The sequence below is a fragment of the Homo sapiens genome, chromosome 15 (assembly GCF_000001405.40).
Source record: "Homo sapiens chromosome 15, GRCh38.p14 Primary Assembly".
NCBI lineage: Eukaryota > Metazoa > Chordata > Mammalia > Primates > Hominidae > Homo > Homo sapiens.
In genome coordinates, this window is record NC_000015.10 from 32,986,642 (window position 1) to 33,014,459 (window position 27,818).

At 38.2% G+C, this 27,818-nt stretch overlaps 1 protein-coding gene and 1 pseudogene across 16 annotated transcripts in view; one reads left to right on the top strand and one right to left on the bottom strand.

Moving 5' to 3' along the window:
- Positions 1-27,818, bottom strand: part of FMN1 (formin 1) — a 429,171-nt gene that overhangs the window by 221,098 nt on the left and 180,255 nt on the right. For all 16 annotated transcript variants that reach the window (XM_011521509.4, NM_001277313.2, XM_011521504.4 and 13 more), the window contains one exon: positions 21,373-21,434. In XM_011521509.4, the coding sequence (XP_011519811.1) occupies positions 21,373-21,434 (62 nt within the window). The remainder of the gene's footprint in view (positions 1-21,372; positions 21,435-27,818) is intronic.
- Positions 25,427-26,624, top strand: HNRNPA1P71 (heterogeneous nuclear ribonucleoprotein A1 pseudogene 71; annotated as a pseudogene).

Consider the following 27,818-nt stretch of genomic DNA (forward strand, 5'->3'; position numbering starts at 1 on the left):
TTACTAGATGTTTAATGATACTTGGAACATCAAGATGCATGTGGAATTACACTCTACTAAGATGAAGACAGAATAACTTGGAAAAGATCAGATCTCATTTTGACTTGATTCTCTTCTCCTGGAATATAGACAAACCACATTCTTTTCCTCCCCCACCTTAGATTATACTATATTACTTTTGATTGATATTCATCTCCATAATTTGTGCTTTTTGAAAGAATAATTGTTATAAGAATTACGTATTTCAGGTTTTCTCTAGTAATTGGAAGGTATGAATTTAAATCTGACTTATTTCCTAACTGATCAAACATGGACTATAATTTATGAAATATTTTCAAAATAAACATTTAACTATCCTATTCAAACTTGAAATGTCACTTCAATTTTAGTTTGACTGAGGGTTATAGATGGCTACATTTTTTTCTCCCAGGCAATTTTTCTATTTTAAATGTTATTAGCTGCCCATATTAATAATGTGAAAAGGCAGAGACAGGATAACCTTAAAACTCATACATCATTTTTTCTTAAGTGTTTCAAAGGTTAATACCTAACCATAAAGGTTAATGATACAAGGTCAGCTGTATAACATCCACATGAAACCACATGACCGCTGTAGCGTTTCATACCATTGACATGTTGCTGTTTTGTGGAATGTATTTGTCAGTTACAAGAGATGACATGCTTGTTTGGTGCCATGTACCCTTTATGAAAAAATGAACTGGCTCAAGTATCCATGCCAGTCATGTACTCCGAATAATTACAAACTACTTCACACTCTAAATATTTAGATCACTAGGAATTTCAACGTTAGACCATCACCTTTCCCCCGACTGCACATCAGAGCAGAAGGCTTTCTGACTGCCTGTCCTTGAACATAACACTAACACAACATATGAAACTGATTAGGAGGACTGAGGTGTTTGAAAGAAAAAAACTTTGATTTTTATAAAGATTGGCATGAAGATCATTCTTCTCAGTTGAAATTTACTTTGATAAAATACACCCCCTTCTCAACTGCAGTTGCCAAGTATAAAAACAAATGCCTACTTTCTTCTGAATCACTTTTTTATATTTGTCTCATGTATTTTTCAGATTTTCACATCAGTGTAACACAGGTAAGAATAAAAGCATAGAATTAAATCCGAATATTTACCTATGAAGAAACACTTAACAGGCCAGTACTAAAACTTGGAGCTCATAAAAGGGGAAACATGTCTTTCTGTCGTTGAGTATAATTTAGTTTCAAAAGATGGTTTTTTGGGTTTGCTATGCAAAATCCTCTAGCAACAGTCACAGTTTCTCAGTACTGGTGTTTTAAAGTTCTTTGCTTTGGGTAGTGCCTCGTTGCAGGTTTAGGAGAAAAAAATGTTAAAAGGTATTCCTGACAGCTGGCAGCCTGTCTCTCCAGTTTTTTTTTTTTTTTTTTTTTCTTTTTTTAGGTAATTAGGTTGCTAATAAGCAGGGAGTGAGTGATGCTGTTGGACTCCAATGTTTGATTCTAGGTCACAGTAGGACATAGTCAATCTGGACACTGACCCATAGCTCACAAATCAGAAAAAAATCATCTGAGAATTAGAAAATAATCTACCAAGCTCCTATTTGTAAACCCTCAATACAATTCTTAACCTTGCAGAGATAAAGCGTTGGGGAAGAGGAAGTATTTTACAACCTTTTAATCTTAAAAAACAATAAATTTGAAATTGAGCAAAGTATTTGAAAGAGGTGGCCTTACTTTCCTCCAACTGATTTATACATTCGTAACAGAAGCGTGTTTGAGTTTGTGTCATCTGAAGATTCTGCTCTTAAATATGCTACTTTAAACCTAAGACAGCATATTCTCAGTACAACTCACCATTATGAGTTGAGTGATGGTTTTTCTGCCCATCACTTAGACTGTAGTCAACACTTTATCTTTGGCAGAGCAATTTCCACATGGCATAAATGATGGGGCAATGGACTGGGAAGAGGCTCGACTTTCAGTCATGGTGCTTCTATCAGTTTCCTGCCTGCGTGGTCTTGAGCCCTCTTGTTGCTAACTAGAAGTAACCAGACGGTGAATCTTACAGGGTGGCCAACTTCCTTGGCTACAATAAACCCCGTTGTTGTTGTGATCATGTCACCTCCCTTTAATGTATTGAGAAAGTTGAGAACCATTAAGCTAGATTCTAAGACCAACTCTTTTACCCTTTAGCTCCCCATCTATAAAATGAACAGGTTTCCAAAATATCACAAATTCAAGTAAGTCTATGTTGCTTCCACTTAAGCTAACGCAAATCATCATGCAAATGTTGTCTAAACGCACAACATCTGATAAATGCACATTTAAGACAGTCAGAAACAGTAAATGTCATTCTCCCAGCAGAAAGTCATAAACTGTCAAAAATATCTTTTAAAAAACCTTCTGGAAACACAGTTTTTCCACTACAGTTTTCCTTTGTCTCTGAGTTTGAAAAATATTACCTGTGAAATCACTTTGGTTTACATCCAGTTTCCACTATAGGGGAAGAAAGGAAGACCAACCAGTGATTAATTTATAGACTAATGCATTACTGTGATGGCAGATTCAACTGTTTGTTGTTTAGTGAAAGTTTATGTCCGTCATGTACATGACACTGGGGATGGAAGGTAGGTGGAGGTACCTCTGCTTTCATAATTATAATGTGAGAACTAGTCTGCTAAGTGCCTAAGTCAATTCAAAATTTCCGAGGAGGAAGCCTTAGGGAATTAGAGATGGTTTCATGTATGATGAGGAACCCTTGCAGGGCACAAAGAATTGGCAAAGGTAAAATGATGATTGTGAGAAATCCAAGTGAAAGATAAAAGCATGCTGGAGGGAAAGTGTAGGGAAATAGCGGAAGAGAAAACCATAATAATTCCCCACCCTTTGTAGTCAAGTGCAGTTTAGCCCCTTCACCCGCCCCCCACCAAAAGAAAGAAAGCCAAGATAAATTGGAGGGTCTTAAATACCATGCTCAAGACTTTGAACTTAACTTGACAGACAGTAGTGAGCCACCAGAGGTGTTTTAAGAGACGGGCAACAACCTAAATAATCGATAAGGTGGGCTGAATACACGCAAGCTATGCTCAAGGCCTATGTTAGGATGATGGGAACAGGATGCCAAGCAGTGAGTATATATGAAACCACAGAGCCCAGATTAACATAATTTGGTAATCAACTAGATGTGAAGCAGAGGGTGCAGGAGTTGTCAAGGATGCATCTGAGGTTTTTGGCCTAGACTTTTAGTTTTAGGAGAACCATGACACCGTACATATACAGGGTAGCTAAGAAAGCAGATTGCTTTTTGTCATGTTTACATTGGGAGGGGAAGAGGAGGAGGATTCAGAAGGAGACAAGTAGATGAAAATAAAGATCCCTTTCTATGGTGGGCTTATAAAACTTTTTGGATGCTCTGGTTTTGGGAATTTTAAATTTGAGATACTAAAAATATTTCCCAGTGTAGCTTTCCACAAAAACTTATCTGTAACTCAGGAAGAAGTTTGAATTCAAATAAATAGGTCTGAAAAGCACTTACACAGAGATAAGCTTGTGGCAATAAGGGAAATCTCCAAGAGACAAAATATAAAAGGTCAGGTGACTAACCAGCCACAATTTGGCGTGCTGCAGAGGCAACACTGGGAGGGCAGCAAAGAAGATAGAGAAGCACACCGTGAGGAAGAAGAAAAAAACTGCAGAATTCGCTGTCCCAGATGTTGAGGGAGGAGTTCGAGGATGTCAACACTGACTCTCCAGGATCAGAGCAAAGAAAGAAAGACAGATAGGAGACAAGTAGCACAGGACAATTACTTCATCTGTTTCAGTAGAGTTGGAACGGAATTCAAGTGGTAAGATAATTTGCTACAAGTCATTAATGTTTAAGAATTTTGCCAGTGAGAGAAGGAATGGAAGGTCAAAGCAACAGTATGGTCAAGAGAAAGGATTTCTAATGTAAAGGATAGCTGAATTTATTACTAGAAATGGGGGAAAGCACCTGCTAAAAGAACAACTGTATTAGTCTGTCCTCACACTGCTGTAAAGAACTGCCCCAGACTGGGTAATTATAAGGAAAGAGGTTTAACCGACTCACAGTTACACATGCCTGTGGAGGCCTCAGGAAACTTACAGTCGTGGTGGAAGGGGAAGCAAACATGTCCTTCTTCACATGGTGGCAGGAAGGAGAAGAATGAGAGTCAAGCAAAGGGAGAAGCCCCTTACAAAACCATCAGATCTTGTGATAACTTACTCACTCTCACGAGAATAGCATGGGGTAACTGCTCCCATGATTTAATTACCTCCCACCAGGTTCCTCCCATGACACGTACGGATTATGGGAACTGCAATTCGAGATTTGGGCGGGGACACAGCCAAACCATAGCAGCAACCAAACGAGAAAAGAGCAGAAGCAGCAGTAGATGATATCAAAGAGAACAGGTGAAGAAACACCAGCCACCTGCCTTTCTTTTCCTATGCATAAGGCCAAACCTAACAACCAAGCAAAGAAATAAAGGCATTTATAGCCCATAGACAAAGGCCCTCATTCTTTATTTTCTCTCGGTTTCAGAAGAAATGCCACCTCTTTCTTCCCAGAATCTCCTGGGTCCCTGATTTCGCTGTCTTCTACATTCTCAGGAATACTTTCTCATCAACTTATTCCTTCTGGCCAGCTCCCTGCTTTACCTATTTAGATCTCTTGCTGGAAATGCTGGACTGCTCAGGCTGTTTCCTGCACCATCTACATCTACTGCATATTGATTCTCATATGCTGCATAGTAACTTGACAAATATTACCCTACATGATCTAAACAACACTGTGGTGAAGGTAGGAGCCCCAAATTCTGGACCATCGAAAATCACAATCTAGGGAGCATCAGGGCTGTGATTCAAAGCTGAGTCTTCTGCTGCAGCCTCGTGTTCTTTCTCCTCTGCAGGGCTGTCTCTTGATGCTGGTCAAGATGCAGGCAGTAGACTGTTTCTATCTAAACATTACAAACGACTTGGCTTGCTGTCAGACACCTAACTTTAAATGGCTAAAATCGCTTGATAAATGGTGTGAAAATTTTATGGTCCTTCCGTCAGACACCGTAATTTATTATCACATAATGCACAGTTAGAAGAACCAAAAGAAACCATCCCACAAGGGCAAACAATGTGGAGGCAGTGGCCCTTTGACACTCAAAGGCCACAGGCATTATATGGATCCAATAAGAGAGCTGCTTCTACGAACAAGAGAACAACCTCTTGATCTTGCAAAATATTTTTGGACACCTAAAGGCTCTTTTATTACTGTGGCTGATTAAAATGAAAAGTTTAAACGACTAAAATGTTCTTTTTGATGAGTTTTTACCATGAACTATAGACCTTGTAGTCCAGGGGGATTCAAGCCCTTTGATCCTGCGTACTCACATAAATTCAGAGTCATAAAACAACATTGGATTTGATTTTACTAGTGTAGCTGATGTTGCCAGATTTGTAATGCAATCTTGTTTTCTCCCCTCCTTGTTTTTGAGCCCATCCACCATTGTTTTATAGCAAAAGGAAAGGAGTTTCCATTTGGTTTTGGCAATCCAGTTTCAAGACTGAGCCACTTTTCTAGAACGTTGGAATTTTACAGAAAAATAATGGTCCTGTATTGTATCCATCAAAACGGGAATCAATGTTAGTTTTGCATGCTGAAAATAAAGTATCAAAAAGAAAACCCTCTTCTCATTATAATAATCACAGATTTTCATTACTTAAGATGGTTAGAGGATGATGTGGTTGAGAACAATAGTATAAGTATGAAGTAGAAAAACTGGTGTGATTTAGTGTTTATAAATTTCCCTCAGGACTAACTGAAAATAAATTAGAAATATCAAAAGATGCCCAATTTATTCATCAATGGCAGATTATAGATCATATCTTAGTTTACAAACTTAAGAAAAAGGACTGGTATCTGTGGGAGAAATAAAGAAAATGTTCGATAAGACATATGTTTAACAAAAAGACATGCAGTAAATATAACTTAGATGTTTAATTCACTTTCTTCTAATATCCTAATCATTTTCCTGTGTGTATGTGCAATATCATATTCCTATAACTCCTAAGACATGAAATTTTTACTATAAAGGGTCTATGAGGGAATAAGAAGACAATTTTATTAAATCTATGTTATAAAGACCATAACAATCAATAGTGGGTCATAAAAATCGTTCATTTTTACGGAGTAAAATATCAGTTTGGGCTCAGAGAGATCAATGTATATTTAGCCTATTCACTAGACCAAGTAATACTAATTTAACAGTTTTCACTAACTTTATTTTTCATGGATTGCCTGAAAGATGAAACATTTCTCGCCAAGATTGTTCTGTAAGTGACACAGGACATAAGGGTCATGTGATACTTCAACAATTCTAATTGGAAAAGAGTCACCATGTAAGGGATGCTTCATTCTCCTAGGGACAATGCCTTGTGACATTTTCAGCTGCAGTCTCTTAACACCTGCTGAGGCCCCAGTGAACATTTCAGAATACGATTCATTCAGAGAAATATCATTCCAATACACATTCACTTCCTTGCCATTTGGTATGAATATATTACATTAAGCCATATAAAATTGCTGCTTTATAAGTCAAATAGGTCAAATATCAGCAATTTAATGCAGTTCAACTTATAAACTTCATTTAGCAAATTTGAAAATTATCATTGTTCTATGTTTTCTCAGTTAATCCTTTAAATTATGTCTAAAGGATCTATTTGCCATAGATAAGGGTCATGCCATATATAGTTTTAAAACAAAACAAACAGAACTGTGTTATACAGACACCTACTGCAGCTTTCAAAGACAGTACAAGAAACTGCCCCCTGTCTACAGAGACAAGTAATTGTTCTGGTGGTGTGTATATCAAATTAAGATAAGAGAAGTGTATCCAGTTAACAAGAGCTTTCTCATTTCATGCTCAAAAGGGTAGTGTGTTGTCAGCACCTTCTTCCTCCCTATTAATTCATTCAAGAATTATTTATTGTATATTTACCATGTTCCAGAGGGAGAATCAAGCTGTACACATTTACAGACAAGCAACAATGACAGTTTTCATGGTTCCAGTTTCAGCAGAAGCAACCCTCAGCACCGGTAGAAAGGTAATGCTTGTTGTCAGAGAGCGTAAATTCTCTCTTGACCCTGTCTTAGAGCCACTACAATCTCTGACTTGGACAGCTGCAGTACTCCCTGCTGTCCTCTCCACATCCTCTCTGCCCTCCTCAACTTGTCCTCTGCAACAGCAGCCGGGGGCGGGGTGGGGGGGGTCTTTTGGAAATGCAAATCTCCTCATGTCACATATTCCTCTGCTCAGAATTAGTCAGTAGATTCTAACTGTTCTGAAGATGAAATTGGGAAACCTTAAAAAGATGTACAAGACCCTTCCAGAATCTTGCCTCTTGCCTTTCTCCACCGCACTGTTTTCAACCCATAGGCCATCATCGATCAGTGAGATAGCATATTAACATATCAATTTGTGCTTTATCCAGAGCATATTTAGTAAGAGTTGAATATATCCGAGTATGTTACATGCAATAAATTGTTGAATAGAACTCATTCCTCTCTCTCTCTCTCTCTCTCACACACACACACACACAGACACACACACACACGTAACCTGGGTCTCGATATAAATTACATTGCTTATTCTGGGTTGTAGTATAAAAAGGTTGAAAAAATCCTACTCCAGAGCTACATTTCCCACCTCTCTCCTGTTTTTCCTGTGCTTTGGCCACACAAAGCTTCCCTGCAGTTCTCTCCAAACAAGCCAAGCTTCTCTTCACTCTTCAAACCTCTGCTTAAAGGTCAGTTCCTAAGAGTATCCTTGTCTGGACCCATGGATCTTAATTAGACCCCATCAGAGCAGCTCCACAGCACTCATCACATTATATTTATTGGCTGGTTATTTTATCAATATCTGTTTCTCTGAATGGACTACAAGCTCCAAGAGAGTGGGGCCTATTATCTGTCCTGCTCCCTCGAGCACCTAGCACAGTGCCTGGCATCCAGGAAGCACTCAATCAATACATATTGAATGATTGAGAAAGACCTCTATTTCCTTTTGATGATTCCATTCTTAGATGAAACGGATGATCAAGTTCATAAAGCATTATTTTAAGGTGGTCCTTTGTCATTTGTTATATAGAATGTACCTATTTACAGCCATAAACATAGCATGTACTGTCTCTGTAAGTACATTAAGCACTGCCTATGAGTATGGACTTATGTGCACTTTGCTGTGCATGTTTTTCTGTAAAATAAACTAACAATGAGTTTTCATGTGTTTAAAGCAAAAACTCTTAGTATAAAACTGGAATGTGTTTCAATCATCAAAAGAAAATGTATCTAGAAAGTTAAGAGAAAAAGGGTCAAACTGACCTCCAGTGGTGAGATTGTGGAATGACTCCTAAAGTAATTGTAAAATACTCAGCCTATCACACAGAAGCATATATATATATATGTATATATGCAAAACACATTTCTTAATAATACTTCAAATTATGTTTATTATACCAATTTGCAGGAGATATAGGTCATGCCATATATTGTATCAAAACAAGTAGAAGTGTATTACATAGACACCTGTAACAGCTTTCCAAGATAGTGTATGAAATTGCCACAATCAGAAAATCTAAGTCTTGGAAAGAATCTTAGTTGAGATCTGAGACCTAACATCAGCAACTTCTATAAAAAGTTGATAATTTTAAAATGTTAACACTCAAAAAGTCTCTCCCTCCATTAGTCTCTGCGTAATATTAGGTCCTCAGTGTAAGCTGAGTGTTATTTAGCCTTTATGGTATAAATTCTGTTTTCCCAAATAAATAGTAAATCCTCTGAGTACGGAACCTATATGAGGATTAAATAAAATAATCCATGGTAAATGCTAAGTGTAGTGTCTGGCATATAGCAATATGCAACAAATGTTATCTGTTATTATCATCATTATTACCATCATTACTAAATGATGTTTTATCTCTAGCACATCTCTTGTATTTGACACGTGCTCAATTGGTGTTTACCAATCATGAGAGAGATAAAGTGTAAGAAGCCAAGTTATGTACATGAAATTATAGTTTAGAAAATTTGTCTTTACAGCAAAAACAATTTTAACACGCAATTATCTTACTCAGAACCGTTCCCCAGATCTGTGTTTTAACTCTTAGGCTGCTTATACATATTCAGATGTTTCCTTCATAAAACTATGGCAACAGTAATATTTCCTAGGAAGAGGCAATAATGGAAATGAGCACATCATACTTTTATAACATATGAAAAGCAATGCTCATTGGAGAATTAGATATAACAGTAAATACAGAATGTTTCTTTTACCTCGGCACATAGCTTATATGGAACAAACTTTACCATCCAAAAATACACTTTGACAGCCACAGACTTAGAGTAAACTAAACATGCTGCTGCTCATAATAAACACAATAGTTATGATAGATAGGTCATCTACCACATGCCATTGTGGCCCAGTCCCACCTAAGCTATCCCAACAGTTGTAATCAGTCAAAATGACCAAGTTACAACATTGTCACACCCACTTTAAAGGTGAGAAGCTGAAGCTCAGAAAGGTTTAAATAATTTCTTCAAGACCACACATCTAGTAGACAGCACAAACAGGATTCAAACTCAGGGAGGATTACACACCTGTTTTTCTATCCCACTATCCTACCTAGGGTTACATTGCATTTTGTTTAATGAATGGTCACTTGACTTCATTATATGAGTTTATGCTTCAGCATGTTCTGATTCTAAGGGCCATCACTCCTAAGGACAAATATCCACCCAAAGATAGATCAGAGGCAAAGGTCAATCCAGAATCAAAGTCACATCAGGAATATTCTCACTAGGCAAGGACCTTTAAGATCTTCCAGAGGCAGTTCAGTGTACAGGGTAAGAGGGCCACCTCATAATGGTGTAATAGCTCATTCACTCCTTATATATAAAGACTGGCACATAGTAAATGCTCAATTAAGTACCAAATATTATTATTGTTATTCCTCCAGGACACAGAGGAAGCTACAACAAATTGCAGTGAAATGGTCAAAGCACACATAATGTTACGCGCGTATACACACAAACACACAATAAATTCACACTATGAATTCCAAAGTCTATGAGGTTGGAGTTGTTAGAAGCAGCAACTAGTACCATTTATCACACATGAACACACCATACAAGGAGGTGGCAGCATAGAGAACACAGCTGAATCACCCCATAGGCCTGTTAAGGAATCAGCAGTGTTGGGTATCAGGGACTATACTGGAGAAGATTAAAGTTAAAGAACAGCTGAGCCCCGATGTTCAAATTACAAAAATCGTAACGAAGAAGTAAGGAGCTGGCAAGCTGCATAGAAGTCTAGCCACAGTATTTTCTTACCCAATTTACAATCTTGGAAATTAACTTCTATGAGATTCAGGTTTCAAATCTCTAAGATAAATACAGGCAAACATCAAGATTATGGTGACAAGTATTAGAGGCACTTCCTCAAACTGGGCTCAGGACCAGCTATGAGAAATAAAGCTGGAAAGAGAAATTTCCCACCTGCTCCTTTCTTCCGTACCTCAGTAGAGAGAACAGAACACCTTATTTCTGAAACCAGTGAAATAAAAGAACTCTATTGTTTATTTTTCTTTCCTAACACTACAGAAATATCACCGTCTTTTTTTTTTTTTTTAATCACATGGGGAACTTGTGCAGATCATCCTTTATTCCTACCTTGTACAGGTCTTTGACACAGGACGAGAGAAAAAATTAAAACTTAAAAAATCATTATACTAGGCAGTGAATACATATCAAATTTAGAAACCAGGCAGACCTGGTTGATGAATCTAGCCATTCTACTGACCAGCTGTGAAAGCTCAGGATTGCACTTGACTCCGCTGGGTCTCAGGTAGTTCGAAATTATCTACGTGAAGCACTGAGCATGGTACCTGGCACAGAGCTGGTGCTTCCTTCTCAGTAGCCAGGATTATAAACATCTCCAATTAAGTCAAAAAGCATGGGGTGCTCAGCATTTAATCTCTCATGTCAACACAATCTCTTACCATGCCTTCCTGAAAATGTTCTAGAACACAGACCATACCCAATTTTTTACACTAAGAGCTCATCTTTCACTTACACTTCCAAAGCTGCTGCCCTTTCAATTCCTTCAATAGCCCTTTCAGGAAAGGACAGAAGAGAGGAAGAAAGGGAAAGGGCAAGAGGGAAAGAAAAGGGAAAAGAAAAGACACAAATGTAAATGTCCATAAATATCTAAAAGCTCAAGGAATTCTGCTTTGTATTCGTATGTTCATGAAAAAAATAAATGTTACTCAGCCTCTTTATCCTCTGTACCAGAAGTCACAATCTCAGATGTCTACAGGCTCCAGGCAATCAACATAAGTAGAGGAGACTGGCTATAAGATGATAGTAAGTGTGGGGCAGTACTTTGGCAACTAGAGCATCCATGCTTTATTTGAAAATTATTCAAAGGAAGTTTTTAAATGTTATTGTGCTCAATGAATAAACGTCTCTGGGCTGTATTTGATGGTATCACAAATTTAAGAATTCTGCAGCTTTCCTAATGCTACCCCCCAAATAGCCTTCTACCTAAATACTGTGAGTCATGAAAAAATTTCCAGCAATGTCCAGTCAGATCAATTAACAACTATTTATTCAATTTCAGCTAGTTGCCTAGCACTGATCTAGGTAACATGGGAAAAGAAAATCTCCTAGGACTTTGGATTGAGTTGGGACAGATGCAGGGGCCCACTCTTTTCCCAGGCCAGAAATGATAGAACTTTGAAGCTAGAAGGAAACTTACGCCAGCTACTCCAATGCTTTTACTTTACAGCTGAAGAACCTAATATTTAAGAGTGATGTGTGATTGTATAGAATTTACAGAATTATTGAGTGAGGCAGGACAAGTCTGGAGAGAAGGAAACACTCCCCGTGGTGCTCTACCATGCTTTCTCCCATTTCATGAAGAGTCAAAAGCAATGGCCAACACGCAGAAACTCACCGGTTCCAGCAGTAGCCCGTCACCTAAAGTCAAAAAACTTTTGCAATAAAAAGAAAACTGTCTTGGTCCACCTGTATTGACTCATGTTCAGGGGTTAAGACTCAGCAGAAATGATTGAAGGCTGATGGTGCATGAAGGAAATGTCTAAAACCATCATTGGCCCCCATGATACAAATGAGCAATCAACATTCTACAACAGCCTCCTTCTATATCTGAATTGTCTGAAGGCAAGACAGTATCTTGAAGGCTGAGACAAAGGGCTCCTTTTCCATGAAAATTCAAGTCCAAATGTACCTACCGGATTCTAGGTAGCCAGTCGCCCAAGAGGAATCTCAACACTAGTAAACCAGTAAATCTAGTAACCTCACAACATTTCACAGTCACACTAAAATGATGAATTAACATATTTCTCAATATTGTCTATTTTTTCCTTTTTGGCATCTCAGTAATGAATTACACTAATATCAGCACTTAGGGGAATACCATAAGGGTTTTATGAAATCATCACATTTCATACTTGTGAAAGTTTTGTTTATTGGCCTACAAATTATTCCCTTTCCCTCACAGTATTATCTGGGAATTAAGAGATTTAAATGTATTGTGTTGATAATGAAGAATACAAAAAAATGGAACAGGCTTGGGATTTATGCCTTTATAAATTTCGTTGTATCAGCTCAAATAGAGTCTGCACTCAATTCTGTTTCAACAGCAATGTGTAAACTATTAGAAATGGATGAGTGGAATGTGTTGGCCACAGTAAAATGAGGAAGTCTACAAGTCTTAATGGAGGCCAGCATACCATTTCATTCTCTTGGGGACAAAAAGGTACAATGTAAGTTAATTTTCAGTTTGGCATTGATCCCTGGATCATTTTGCAGTGGGAGTTACCAAACTAGAAATGTGACTGCATTGCACAATGAGCAGGGGGCCTGCCAGAGGCCATCGCTCAGTGAAGTTTCCCCTCAATTAGGAAATATGCATGTGATAAATGGGGTAAACGAAAAAGATTCCCGTAAAGGAAATGTCACTATTGGCTGGTTCTTTGTCTTGCATCCCACAACCCAAAGAACATTAGTTAAAAACAGATACAACAATCTGTCGTTTCCAAGTCCTCTACTTTCAAACTGCTTAAGGTGTTGGTCAAAAACGATATTCTTAAGCTACCAGCTCCTCACAAGCCAGACAAAGGGCATGTACTTTTCTTTCTTCCCCTTTCAAAATTGAAGAAGTAGAGATCCAAAGAAGTCCTACTAATCCCATGCTCAGGCTTCCCTTTTGTCATAAAGATTTGGGTATCCTACAGAGTTTCACTTACCTTTCCAGAGCTGCATCCCTTCACAGAGTGACACATCTGAGAAGACACTGGAAGATTAGAGGACTACATTCAGAGTGTAACTGAAAACCTAAACACATTGCTCCACAGAGGCAAGTAGATGGACTAGAGACCTGCTGACTAGGAAGGAGAACTTCCACGAGTAACTAAAAGGTTAAAAACGGGAGGCAGTGGCTGGACGTGATGGCTCACGCCTGTAATCCCAGCACTTTGGGAGGCAGAGGTGGGTGGATCATGAGGTCAGGAGATCAAGACTATGCCGGCTAACACGGTGAAATCCCGTCTCTACTAAACATACAAAAAATTAGCTGGGTGCAGTGGCGGCCGCCTGTAGTCCCAGCTACTCGGGAGGCTGAGGCAGGAGAATGGCGTGAACCTGGGAGGCAGAGCTTGCAGTGAGCCGAGATCCTGCCACTGCACTCCAGCCTGGGCGACAGAGCCAGACTCCATCTCAGGAAAAAAAAAAAAAAAAAAGGAGGCGGTGTAAATAGGAATTTAGGGCTGAGCATAGTGGCTGACACCTGTAACCCCAACATTTGGAGAGAGAGGCTGAGGTGGGCAGATGGCTCGTGCCCAAGAGTTCGAGACCAGCCTGGGCAACATGGAGAAACTCCATCTTTACAAAAACAAGATAAAATAATAAATAAAGGATGCAACCAGAACTCAGGAAGTGGATTATACATTGAGAAAATAAGATTATATTAATCAATTAGGGTAGTATCCCAAACAATGGGTTTCTTGAAGAAAAAGGATTATGTTGGAAATAAGCTATACAGCATTCTCTTTATAGTTCTTCCCTGTACGTGGTAAAGCTCAAACACAGCAATAGATATTTCTCAAATATATTTGACCATGAAAACATTTTGTCAAGAGGCATTTCAAAGTATCACTGTTCAGTGGATTCTGTCTTGGGAAAAGCTAGTTTAGACCACCCTGATATAAAGCACACAGGCACAAGTACAGCAGGAAGATCACAGACAAGTCACCCTTAAAGAATAAATCCACGGCCAGGCACAGTGGCTCATGCCTGTAATCCCAGCACTTTGGGAGGCCGAGACGGGTGGATCACTTGTGGTCAGGAGTTCAAGATCAGCCTGGCCAACATGGCCAAACCCTGTCTCAACTAAAAATACAAAAATTAGCTGGATGTGGTAGCACATGCTTGTAATTCCAGCTACTCAAGAGGCTGAGGCAAGAGAACCGCTTAAATCTGGGAGGCGGAGGTTGCAGTGAGCCGAGATCACAGCATTTCAATCTAGCTTGGGTAACAAGAGTAAGACTCCGTCTCAAAAAGAAAAAAAAAAGTGTAGCAATTTACATTTACCTTCCCCTTATAGTTCAAAAGCAAAGATTTATTGATTATTTAAATGAATCAATTTCTGGTACACATGTTTATACACCTTTACTTAAAGTAAGTACTTGGATGATTTTGCCATTCAAATCTCCAGCGGGAGGGTGGTTGCAGGTCATTTCCCATGACTTCACTGTTTTATGTCATTTATAATATCCACAACATAATTCTTCAGTTTTGTCCAAGTGCGTCCCCCCTCATCCTCCTCCTCCTCCCACTTCCCCCCCCACCTCCCCCCATCCTCCTCCTCCTCCCTCCTCCTCGAGTTTAGAGTGGTCTTTGTGCTTTTTTTTTTGGTTGAGGACATATTTGGGACATTGGACTTTCCTCCTCCTCCCCCTCCCCTTCCGCCTCCCCCTTCCCCCTCCTCCTCCTCCTCCTCTTCTTTTTTGATACAAAGTCTCACTCCCTCGCTCAGGCTGGACTGCGGTGGTGCGCGCATGCAGCATGCTACACCTTTTGATAAGCTAGTAGCAGGAGCAGCCTTGTGCCCTTTCCATACTGCACCACTCAACGAATGCTGGCTGCAGAGCACACATGGAATAAAAACCCTAAGCTCCCCCACTTACTGCCCATGGAACTACAGGGTAAAATAATCAACTGTCCAATCCAAATATTTTAGGTGATAGGGCTTGCATTTTGCTGGTGGGGGAAACTGAACAATTAAGTGATTTCCCTTCAAGTGTATGGTTAAAACAAAATGGAAAGTTCTCTGCTTATTTAGGTTCTCTGCTTATTGAATCATGCTGTTTTCTTTAAATTCTATGAAAACATTCCAAAAAGACCTAAATGTGATACTTATCAATTCTTGTACATGGTGACAGAATGAGTCACTTTTTCTTTTGTACTTTAAAAGCATGAAACCCTTCTTATTCTAGAAAGGCATGTTGAAGAAGTCTGGAAACATATCTGAATTCTCCATAACTTGTATATGGAGAAAGAAAATCTAACAATGATAGCTGCCAATGGAAATCACATGTAAAGCATCAACATATTTTTCCCACTCACTATCTTCCACTAGGTCTGTGACAAAAGATGAGTCCACTACTTAGTGAAACAAAACAGGTAGGGGTGATATTCAGTGAGTACTCACAAGTACAGCTAGGGTGGGTTTTTGTCTGTTCGTTTTACGAACAGCATCTATTTTTTATTGTATTGATGCCAAACCAGTTGTCTCATTTTATTTTCAGTATCACCCAGAGTACAGGGGTAATTAATCAGGCAGGTAAAGTGGCCCAGAGAGCACCCTGGCAAATGAGAGGTCATGCATCCTGGTGGAAGTGAATGCCTGCGACTTAGCCCCAGCAGGTTGAAGTCATACAAGAAAATAAGTCCTTTGGTGCCAGCTTCTCCAAGTTTTAAAGCAGCAGCTAGAAATCCAGGTTTTATATAAAAATCTCCATATTTTAAAATATTTATTCCTAGTTCAATCTTTAAAACACTGTGTTTGCCAAATGAAACACTTCTTTGGGTCAGATTAGAGAAGAGGGTTGCTGGTTTCCTACTGAGGGTTGTCCATCTGTGACTGCTAGAATAGTTTAAAACTACAGCTAAGTGTTCAACATACGAAAATCAATAAACACAATCCAGCATATAAACAGAACCAAAGACAAAAACCACATGATTATCTCAATAGATGCAGAAAAGGCCTTTGACAAAATTCAACAACACTTCATGCTGAAAGCTCTCAATAAATTAGGTATTGATGGGACGTATCTCAAAATAGTAAGAGCTATCTATCAATATCATACTGAGTGGACAAAAACTGGAAGCATTCCCTTTAAAAACTGGTACAAGACAGGGATGCCCTCTCTCACCACTCCCATTCAACAAAGTGTTGGAAGTTCTGGCCAGGGCAATTAGACAGGAGAAGGAAATAAAGGGCATTCAATAGGAAAAGAGAAAGTCAAATTGTCCCTGTTTGCAGATGACGTGATTGTGTATCTAGAAAACCCCATTGTCTCAGCCCAAAATCTCCTTAAGCTGATAAGCAACTTCAGCAAAGTCTCAGGATACAAAATCAATGTGCAAAAATCACAAGCATTCTTATACACCAATAACAGACAGAGAGCCAAATCATGAGTGAACTCCCATTCACAATTGCTTCAAAGGGAATAAAATACCTGGGAATCCAACTTACAAGGAATGTGAAGGACCTCTTCAAGGAGAACTACAAACCACTGCTCAATGAAATAAAAGAGGATACAAACAAATGGAAGAACATTCTATGCTCATGGGTAAGAATCAATATCGTGAAAATGGCCATACTGCCCAAGGTAATTTATAGATTCAATGCCATCCCCATCAAGCTACCAATGACTTTCTTCACAGAATTGGAAAAAACTACTTTAAAGTTCACATGGAACCAAAAAAGAGCCCGCATTGCCAAGTCAATCCTAAGCCAAAAGAACAAAGCTGGAGGCATCACACTACCTGACTTCAAACTACACTACAAGGCTACAGTAACCAAAACAGCATGGTTCTGGTACCAAAACAGAGATATAGATCAATGGAACAGAACAGAGCCCTCAGAAATAATGCCGCATATCTACAACTATCTGATCTTTGACAAACCTAACAAAAACAAGCAATGGGGAAAGGAATCCCTATTTAATAAATGGTGCTGGGAAAACTGGCTAGCCATACGTACAAAGCTGAAACTGGATCCCTTCCTTACACCTTATACAAAAATTAATTCAAAATGGATTAAAGACTTACATGTTAGACCTAAAACCATAAAAACCCTAGAAGAAAACCTAGGCAATACCATTCAGGACATAGGCATGGGCAAGGACTTCATGTCTAAAACACCAAAAGCAATGGCAACAAAACCAAAATTGACAAATGGGATCTAATTAAACTAAAGAGCTTCTGCAAAGCAAAAGAAACCACCATCAGAGTGAACAGGCAACCTACAGAATGGGAGAAAATTTTTGCAACCTACTCATCTGACAAAGGGCTAATATCCAGAATCTACAGTGAACTCAAACAAATTTACAAGAAAAAAACAACCCCATCAAAAAGTAGGCGAAGGATATGAACAGACACTTCTCAAAAGAAGACATTTATGCAGCCAACAGACACATGAAAAAATGCTCACCATCACTGGCCATCAGAGAAATGCAAAGCAGAACCACAATGAGATACTATCTCACATCAGTTAGAATGGCGATCATTAAAGTCAGGAAACAACAGGTGCTGGAGAGGATGTGAAGAAATAGGAACACTTTTACACTGTTGGTGGGACTGTAAACCAGTTCAACCATTGTGGAAGTCAGTGTGGCGATTCCTCAGGGATCTAGAACTAGAAATACCATTTGACCCAGCCATCCCATTACTGGGTACATACCCAAAGGATTATAAATCATGCTGCTATAAAGACACATGCACACCTATGTTTATTGTGGCACTATTCACAATAGCAAAAACTTGGAACCAACCCAAATGTCCATCAATGATAGACTGAATTAAGAAAATGTGGCACATATACACCATGGAATACTATGCAGCCATAAAAAATGATGAGTTCATGTCCTTTGTAGGGACATGGATGAAGCTGGAAACCATCATTCTCAGCAAACTATCGCAAGGACAAAAAAACCAAACACCGTATGTTCTCACTCATAGGTGGGACTTGAACAATGAGAACACGTGGACACAGGAACGGGAACATCACACACCAGGGACTGTTGTGGGGTGGGGGTAGCGGGGAGGGATAGCATTAGGAGATATACCTAATGCTAAATGATGAGTTAATGAGTGCAGCACAACAACATGGCACATGTATACATATGTAACAAACCTGCACGTTGTGCATATGTACCCTAAAACTTAAAGTATAATAATAATATTAAAAAAAAAAAACTACAGCTAAGTGTATAAATTGGATGTACCACCCAGATGGCAATAGTGAGCCATGGTGGCCATGGCTTTAGCAATTAGGTAAACATCATAAATGTGGGGCAACAACAGTTGTTTAAGTGTACTAGTATCATCAAAAGAGCAGATGATTTTTTTACAGATGGTTTTTAAAAATCTAAAGTATAGTTTGGAACATTTTTAATCTTTACTACTGTTAATCACACCTTAGTCTAACCTGTATTTTAAGTGCAGATCATGATCACAATATACTTTCCTTCTTCCATATACTCCTCTTTTCCATCTCCAATCTTTTCTTAGTTTGAGATATATAAGATCATAAGACTTTTGCAGAGACAGAATGAGATAATGTGCTTAGAACAATACCTAGCACACAGCAAGAATTAAAAAACTGTAAGCATCTTCTGTTACCAAGAATATTATTCCACTGTCAAAGCCCTCGCCAGGCTGGTCTACAGTTTGTGGAAAGCTAGGGTTAACTGTTACAACTTGGCTGTTAACACAACTTCTGCTTACAGAATCACTTCTGTTCCTGCCCTCTTTAGGAATCTGTGTCTTAAATTATCCCCTACCAATTTCAGTTCCTCTGAGGCAGCTGACAATCTTTTTTCACATCAGAACAAAGAAAAAGAAAGAGAGGTCTCCCTTTGTAACAAGGGAGATAAGGGCCTCCCTCCTCTCCTTTTCTTCTAGGAGACAGAGGTACTTTTCCACTTTTTTGTTTCTTTGTGAAATTGACTCATTTTCTCTCCCTAACTATTTAAACTCTGCTGGATGGGTAGGGCTTGAATTCATACACCATACTACTTATCGAATAATTTTCTGCTACTTGCAATAACATAACATATAATCCAATACACCGACTCAGTTATTTTTAAAAGCACATTATCATTCATTGAAAAGAAGGATGTTTTCATATATCTGATAAGGGGTTAATATACAAAAAATATTTAAGGAATTCAAAGGCAAGAAAACAAACAGCCTGATTTAAAAATGAGCAAATAATCTGAAAATACATTTCTCAAAAGAAGACATACAAAAGGGTCAACCAATATATGAAAAAAATGCTCCAACATCACTAATCATCAGGGAAATGCAAACTAAAACCACGATGAGATATCACTTCACAACTGTTAGAATCGCTATTGCCAAAAAAAGACAAAAGATTACAAGTATTGGTGAGGATATGGAAAAAGAGAACCCATGCACACTGTTGGTAGGAATGTAAACTAGTTTGTAGAAAACAGTGTGGAGGCTCTTCAAAAAAATTAAAACTAGAATTACCATATGACCTAGAAATCCCACTACTGGGTATATATTTAAAGGAAATGAAGTCAGTATGTTGAAGAGATATCTACACTCTCATGTTGACTGCAGCGTTATTCACAAAAGCCAAGATATGGAATCAACGTTGAGTGTCCATCAATGGACAAATGGTTAAAAAAAATGTGGTTTATACACAAAATGGAATACTCTAGTCTTTAAAAAGAAAAAAATAATCCTGTCATTTGCTACAATATGGATGAACCTAGAGAACATTATGTTACGTGAAATATGCCAAGCACAGAAAGACATGGCATGACCTCATTTATGTGAGAAATCTAAAAAAGTCGAACTCGCAGGAACAGGGAGTAGAATGGTGGTTACCAGGGGCTAGGGGCAGAGAGGGGTGAAAAGTGGGGAAGGATTAGGGAGATGTTGATGAAAGGAGACAAATTTCAGTTAGATGTGAGAAATAAATTCAAGATGATCTTCTGTACAACATGGTGACTATAGTTCATAACCATGTTATTGTATACTTTAAAATTTCTAAAAGAGCAGAGTTTTCGTGTTCTCACCGCATATAAATGATAAATATGTGAGGCAATGTATGTGAGACAAAGTATATATTAATTAGCTCAATTTAGTTACTCCACAATATATACATATTTCAAAACATGTCATATACCGTATATATACAATTTCTATTCGCAAACTAACAAATTTTTAGAAAAGAAATGTCTGATCCACAGATTGATTAAATTAGCAGTCATGAGTTAACATTAAATGAGGAAAAAATGTTACTGAAATTTTGCTGTCATTCTCTCCTGAAGCAGGGGGTTACTGCAGCCATCAGTAAACAAGTCTCAGTGCCTGATTCAGTATCCAGTTATTTGAAGTTAAGATTCTGAACTTTCTGCCACAGGCACTACAAGCAAATGCCAAATACAGGGAAAGTCAACTAGATGGCAGCACAAGGGAAATGATCCCTCAGTCATTCCGGGCTTCACAAGGGAGGATCAGGTCAACAATTTCCCAGCACTCTCTGAGGATACGGAAGGGCTCAGAACTCCTCCTCCTCCACCTCCTAGGGCTCCTTCCTTAAATTTTGTAATCTGCATCACATCATATTGCAGGGATGTGCTAAGAAACATACAGACATGAACACCCGAACAAGAGGAAGCTGAACAAAAATAACTTCCATCGTACCTAGAAAAAAAAACTTCTACTATATTTTATATAACAGCAGAAGTCTATTCCATCTTCTCTTCTGCTTTAAAAATAAAATAATCATTTTCCAATCCAATCAAATGCATTTATGGTATTTTTTAAAATTAGAAATTGAATTCTATTAAAAACAGAATCCAAGACTTTTCATTCCCTGTATAGACACAGTGCCTACTGGCAGCTGCAAGATGCGATGCTGTCTAGTTTAACACTTCAACTTAAGAGGAATATTTACTTCAGCATAGGAGAAAACCAAGTATCAGTTCTATAGAACCCGTTCAGTAGCATCAAAGAGGCATACCTGCAGGTTTTCAATTTCTTCTTTGTGCTCCCTCTTCAAGTGTAAAATAGCAGCTTGGTATTCTGTAAAATCAAAAAAGAGGCCAATTATAAAGAAGTACAAAATTAAGCACAAAATTTATCTACTGGTCCTCTTAGAAATAAACTGACTAAAATAAATGCCACAATTTGACATCAACCTTACAAGAGATGTTAAAAATTACAGAAAGATAGGACAAGTAGTTCAGGGTAAAAGGTAAATTCCTTCCTTTTAGCAAACGCTGAATTACGAAAAGACACAAATTAAGCAGATGGGATAGGGTTAAAAGAAAAAAAAAGGGATGATGAGTGTGTTCCAGATAAACACTAGGTCAGGAGTTTGTATTTAAGGAGTTGGAAATTAAGTCCCCACAGAGGACAAATACAGACATCTTAAGAGCAGACAGGGCAGGAAACAAACGAAAACTTTCTATGTGAGATCAGAGCACTCTATTTTTAACTCTGTTTCAAAAAAGAAAAAAAAAATCTCCATTTGAATGCAAGGCTAAGTAAGCACCCAGGGCTGATTTTAATCTTTATCTCAGAAAGTCAATACTATTTGTCATTTGGATGAGAGATTCTAGGGTGAACTGAGGCTGAAAGGACAAAAATAAATTTCTGGTCCAATTTTAATATGAGTCTAATAATGTTTATTTCAACAATAAGTCCCAAGTGTACGTAAGAACTCCAGCCAACCACTAAAACTATCATTCTGCTGGCGAAGCATGCAGCTGTCAAGACAACTTTATTTCCAGCAGAAATTCTAGGTGTGTGGGGTCATGGAACTATACAGGCTGCAGAGAACCACAAGACAAAAATGCTATGAGCACACATTTTTGTGAGATAAGCCAATTATTTTACAAATGTGTTTGGGGTCATGAGTATGAGTAAGCAAGAAGCAGTTTGACCTCATTGAAATATGTGTGAAAGCCAGGCTATTTCTCCAAGTAGATTTCCTAAATCAGGCATGAAAGTTTGTGTTTTAATTTAAAAATGGAAGAAGGAAATCATTGGCAAAGCCACGCCAGAAAAGTAGTGTTGCTGCTGATAATTACGGCTAGATAGACCTCTACTGTTGTGGGGAAGGTGCTCCACTGAGCTGTGAATCCATCAGAAAGTTCTGTGGGTTCTAAATCCAAATCATACCTCGAATGGTCTGGTAGTGACCACTTGTCATTATCCCCACCAGCACCACGATAATCCAAGTTACCACCATCTCCACTAGATTAAAGCAGTATACTTCTGGTAGGGTGCCTGCTTCTACTTTTAGCACCACTGTAACTGATGCTCATCAAAGCAGACTGAGTGATCTACATAGACATGAACCAGATCATCTCATCCTTGGTTTTTCACGCAATTAGAGTGAAATCAGAGCTCTCTGTTGCAGCCCATAAAGACCTCCATGTCCTGGTTCCTACATATCTCTCCCTATCATTTCATACCACTCCTTCCCCTTGTTCATCATACTCCACCGTACACTGGCTTTCTTGCCATTCCTTGAACTTGTCAAATTATTTTCTATCTCAAAATCTTTGCTAATATTGAAAACAATAATAAAGGATTTCATTTGCTGACTACTTACTATATATCAGGCATTATTCTAAGTCTTACTTTATCAACTCATTTCATCTCCACAATAACCCTATGATGTAGGTACCATTATTGTCTCCATTACTGATGAAGATACTAATGCATAGAGACATTAAGTAGCTTGATCAAGGAAGTAGAATAATTTTCAAAGCCAGTAAACATGCTTCATTTAATGGGTGAATGCATAAACAAATGATAGTATGTCCATATGATGGAATACTACTCAGCAATAAAGACGAATATATGCATCAACATGGAGGAATCTTTTTTTTGTTTGTTTTTTTTGAGATGGAGTTTCACTCGTTTCCCAGGCTAAAGTGCAATGGCACGATCTTGGCTCACTGGAACCTCCACCTCCCAAGTTCAAGCGATTCTTCTGCCTCAGCCTCCAGAGTAGCTGGGATTACAGCCCACCACCATGCCCAGCTAATTTTTGTATTTTTAGTAGAGACAGGGTTTTACTATGTTGGCCAGGCTGGTTTCAAACTCCTGACCTCAGGTGATTCACCCCCCTCGGCTTCTCAAAGTGCCTGGCCAACATGAAGAATCTTAAAGGCACTATGCAGAGTGAAAGAAGTCAGTCTCAGAAGGCCAACCACTGTTCAATAGCATTTATATGACATCTAGAAAAGACAATCTAGAGGGATGAAGAACAGATCAGAATAGTAGTTGCCAGAGGTTAGAGATGGGGGTTTGGGGAGGGGGTTGACTGCAAAGTGGCAGCAAGCAAAGGAATTTTAGGGATAATGATATTAGATATTATTCTCTGTCCTGATTATGGTGGTTGTTACATGAATCCATACACATTAAGTTCAAGAAAAAGTACACCAAAAAAAGGATGTTAATTTGTTTTAAATCTGACATTAAATATTATATTGGTAAATATTTTCCCTGTAAGATTCAGCATAACACAACAATACCTGCTACTATTGTTGATATTCATCATTTTTCTACTGCTACTAGCAGATGTAATGGATGAGAAAAAAGACACAAAATCTACATAGATTATAAAGAGAAAAAGGAAGGTATTATTCTCTATGTTCATACATCTAGAAAAATCTAAAAGATCCAACTGATAAAATATTAGAATATGCATGTTTAGCAGAGTTGCTTGGTATTATCAACAAAAATATACAAAAATCCTCATAGTAGCAGTTTAAAAAAGAAAAGCATAACACTTACAGTACTTCTAAAAATACAAAATACCCAGAAAAAACTCAACAGAAATATGTAAAGACCTCATATAAGAAAATAGTAACATTTTATTGACATATTTTACTAAAAAAAAAAAAATAAACGCAGAAAGACAAGTGGGCAAGCCATGTTTCTGATTTATAAGACTTCATATTGTAAAGGTGTGAGTCTTCCCAAACTGATTCCTTCAAAATTTGAGTTTTGTTTTGTTTGAATATAAGGAGCCCATTCTAAAATGCATGTGGAAGCATGAAAGTGCAAAATGCCAATAAGAGCCAAGGAATGCATGAAAATATAGACTAAGTTAAGACAACTTACCTTACCTCCTAATGAGAATTATTTTTAATTCTTACAATGTAATTAACATGGCATGGTACAGACACAGGGATTAACAAATAGGCTAATAAGATAGAATAGACAGTCCAGAAAGATACCATGATTTATAGGGTCACTTGATATATGATAGAAATAGCACTGAAGATCATTAGTTACACAAAGAATGATCTTTTCAATAACTATTGGCTGGGAAAAAAATATTCTGTTCCTTTCTTATGGAAAAAGACAAAACTGGATCCTAACCTTATACTATAATCTATTAGAAGTCAATTAAGTGCTAAACTGTAAAAAGCAAAATTGTAAATATTTTATAATAATTATCTTATAAAATTTATCTTATAGCATAGTATTTTACAGCCTCAGGATAGAAAAAAGATTTCTTAATATTCACAAAGCAATATATATAGAGGAAAAAACCTGATAAATTTGACTACATTAAAATTAAGAACTTATTTTTCTTAAAATATACCATAGAGAAACAGATTGACAATAGATCAATCTATCATCAATAGAGATAACATTCCCTACAGAGTGGGAGAATATACTTGCAACACCATCAATCAAGATCTAGTGTAAATATATAAATGCATCCTACAAAACTATAGAAAATGAAGCCCATGTGAAAAATGAGCAAAAAGCATCAACAGGCGCTCTAAAAAGATGATATACAAATAATAACTATGTTAAAAGGTGCTCCTTATTAGTAATCAGGAATATTTAAGGTCTGACAACAGAGCCTTGGTGAAGATGCAGAACAATGGAAACTTCCATACACTTCACTTACAGCAGGAGTGCAAACTGGTATAATCACTATGAACAATGATATTTTCTAATAAAGTTAAAGATATTAATGCTTTCTTAACCAACAATCCTAACCTTAGGCATACATAAGTAACAAAACTATGAAGAAAAGCAACCTGTCAGTGGACAGCACCAAAGGAAGCATTGTCTCTCTTCCCACTGCTGTCATGTCTGCACATCAGAGTCCCTCAAAGGGCCTGAACAGCTGTGGAAGCTCCTCATCAGAGGGTTGGGCTTTGAAACCACCGATAAGTGCCTGAGGAATCATTTTGAGCAATGGGGAACGCTCAAGAACTGTGTGGTAATGAGATCCAAACACCAGGTATTCCAGAGGCTTTGGGTTTGTCTCATATGCCACCGTGGAGGAGGCAGATGCAGCCATGAATGCAAGGCCACACAAGGTGGATGAAGAGTTGTGGAACCAAAGAGAGCTGTCTAAGAAGATTCTCAAAGACCAGGTGCCCACTCAACTGTGAAAAAGACATTTGTTGCTGGCATTAAAGAAGACACAGAAGAACATCACCTAAGAGATTATTTTCAACAGTATGGAAAAATGGAAGTGATTGAAATCATGACTGACCGAGGCAGTGGCAAGAAAAGGGGCTTTGCCTTTGTAACCTTTGACAACCATGACTCTGTGGATAAGACTGTCGTTCAGAAATACCACACTGCAAATGACCACAACTGTGAAGGTAGGAAAGCCCTGTCAAAGCAAGAGATGGCTAGTGCTTCATCCAGCCAAAGAGGACATAGTAGTTCTGGAAACTTTCGTGGTGGCCATGGAGGTGGTTTTGGTGGGAACGACATCTTTGGTTATGGAGAAAACTTCAGTGGTCATGGTGGCTTTAGTGGCAGCTGTGGTGGTGGAGGATATGGTAGCAGTGGGGGTGGCTATAATGAATTTGGTAATGATGGGAGCAACACTGGAGGTGGTGGAAGCTACAATGATTTTGGCAATTAAAACCACCGGTCTTCAAATTTTTGATCCATGAAGGGAAAAAACTTTGGAGGCAAAAGCTCTGGTTCCTATGATGGTGGAAGCCAGTACTTTGCCAAACCACAAAACCAAGGAGGCTATAGGGGTAGCACTAGCTATGGCACTGGCAGAAGATTTTAATTACTGCCAGGAAACAAAGCTTAGTAGGAGAGTAGAGCCAGAGAAGTGACAGGGAAGCTATAGGTTGCAACAGGTTTGTGAACTCAGCAAAGCACAGTGGTGGCACAGGGCCTAGCTGCTACAAAGAAGACATGTTTTATACAATACTCCCGTGTATGGGCAAAAGAGTTAAGGACCATATTTGTGATTAGTTATATAACAGGTTATTTTAATTTCTGTTCTGTGGAAAGTATAAAGCATTCCAGCCAAGGGTTTTAATACAGTGGTTTGTCTGCACCCATGCTATCAATTGCTAAATGTAATAGTCTGATCATGAAGCTGAATAAATGTGTCTTTTATTTTTAAAAAAAGAAAGACTAGCAAGCAATAATATTAACAAAACTAAGAAGAATGGTGGTTTCCAGGAGAAGATGAACCAAGTTGGGTTGTGATTGAGCAAGGAGATGTTATATGGGTGTTAAATGAAAAATTATTCTTTAAATTGGATATTTTTTACGAAATTATCTTTATGCATATCTAACATTAAATGAAAGAAAAAATACTTCTCTTTTGAAAACTGGTTACATTCGTTTCCTCAAATATCAATATAGGCAAAACAGAACATCTGAATTCATAAAATAAGAAGCAGAAAGTGACTTAGTAAGTTTAAATCTTGTGTAAATGTTGAGTCCTAACCCATGTCATGATAAATATCCAAACCCTAACCAATTCCAAGCTTCTACAAAGTAGTCAAAGGAAAGCTACTTAAACCAAGCTTCTTGTGAAATTGATGTCCTTTGAGAATAGCATCTACATTCTAAATAGAAATTATACAGACTATATTTTGCAATGATTCATTTTGTGTAAATTGTACCTATATGGGTGTGACAGATATCGCTATGACTAATTCATTAACAAACCGATGAAGGAGACTACTGCAAAGCTAACATCTAGGAAAGCATGATTCATCTCCTCCTTTAACAAATATTTTTACCAAGAGTCCCAGTGTGACGGGTGGCAGGAAACACACTCCCATCCCAACAAGGATGACAGAATCCCTGGGCAGCATGTAGAAGGAGGAAGCTAATGCCTTTACTACTGGCATTGGTGAATGCTCACTTTGAGAGTTCACAAGAGAGTAGTAAGAGAATATAAAGGTTACAGAATAATGTCCATGAGTCAAAACTAAGTTAGTGCTTTCCAAATGTGTCTTGTTAGTGGCAGCCCCCTGCCCCCAGATGCTTCTTGAGGCTTGCAGATGCCTGAGTGTGAGGATGGGGAGGCAGAGGTGTCAACTCAAGACCAAGGATGTGTGTATTTGTTAAAAAGAGAACTTGACCCTAGCATTGGTATTCAGTAGCTCTGGGACCTTATAAGTGTGTGAAAAGGAGGAACAGGAATTCTACATCAGG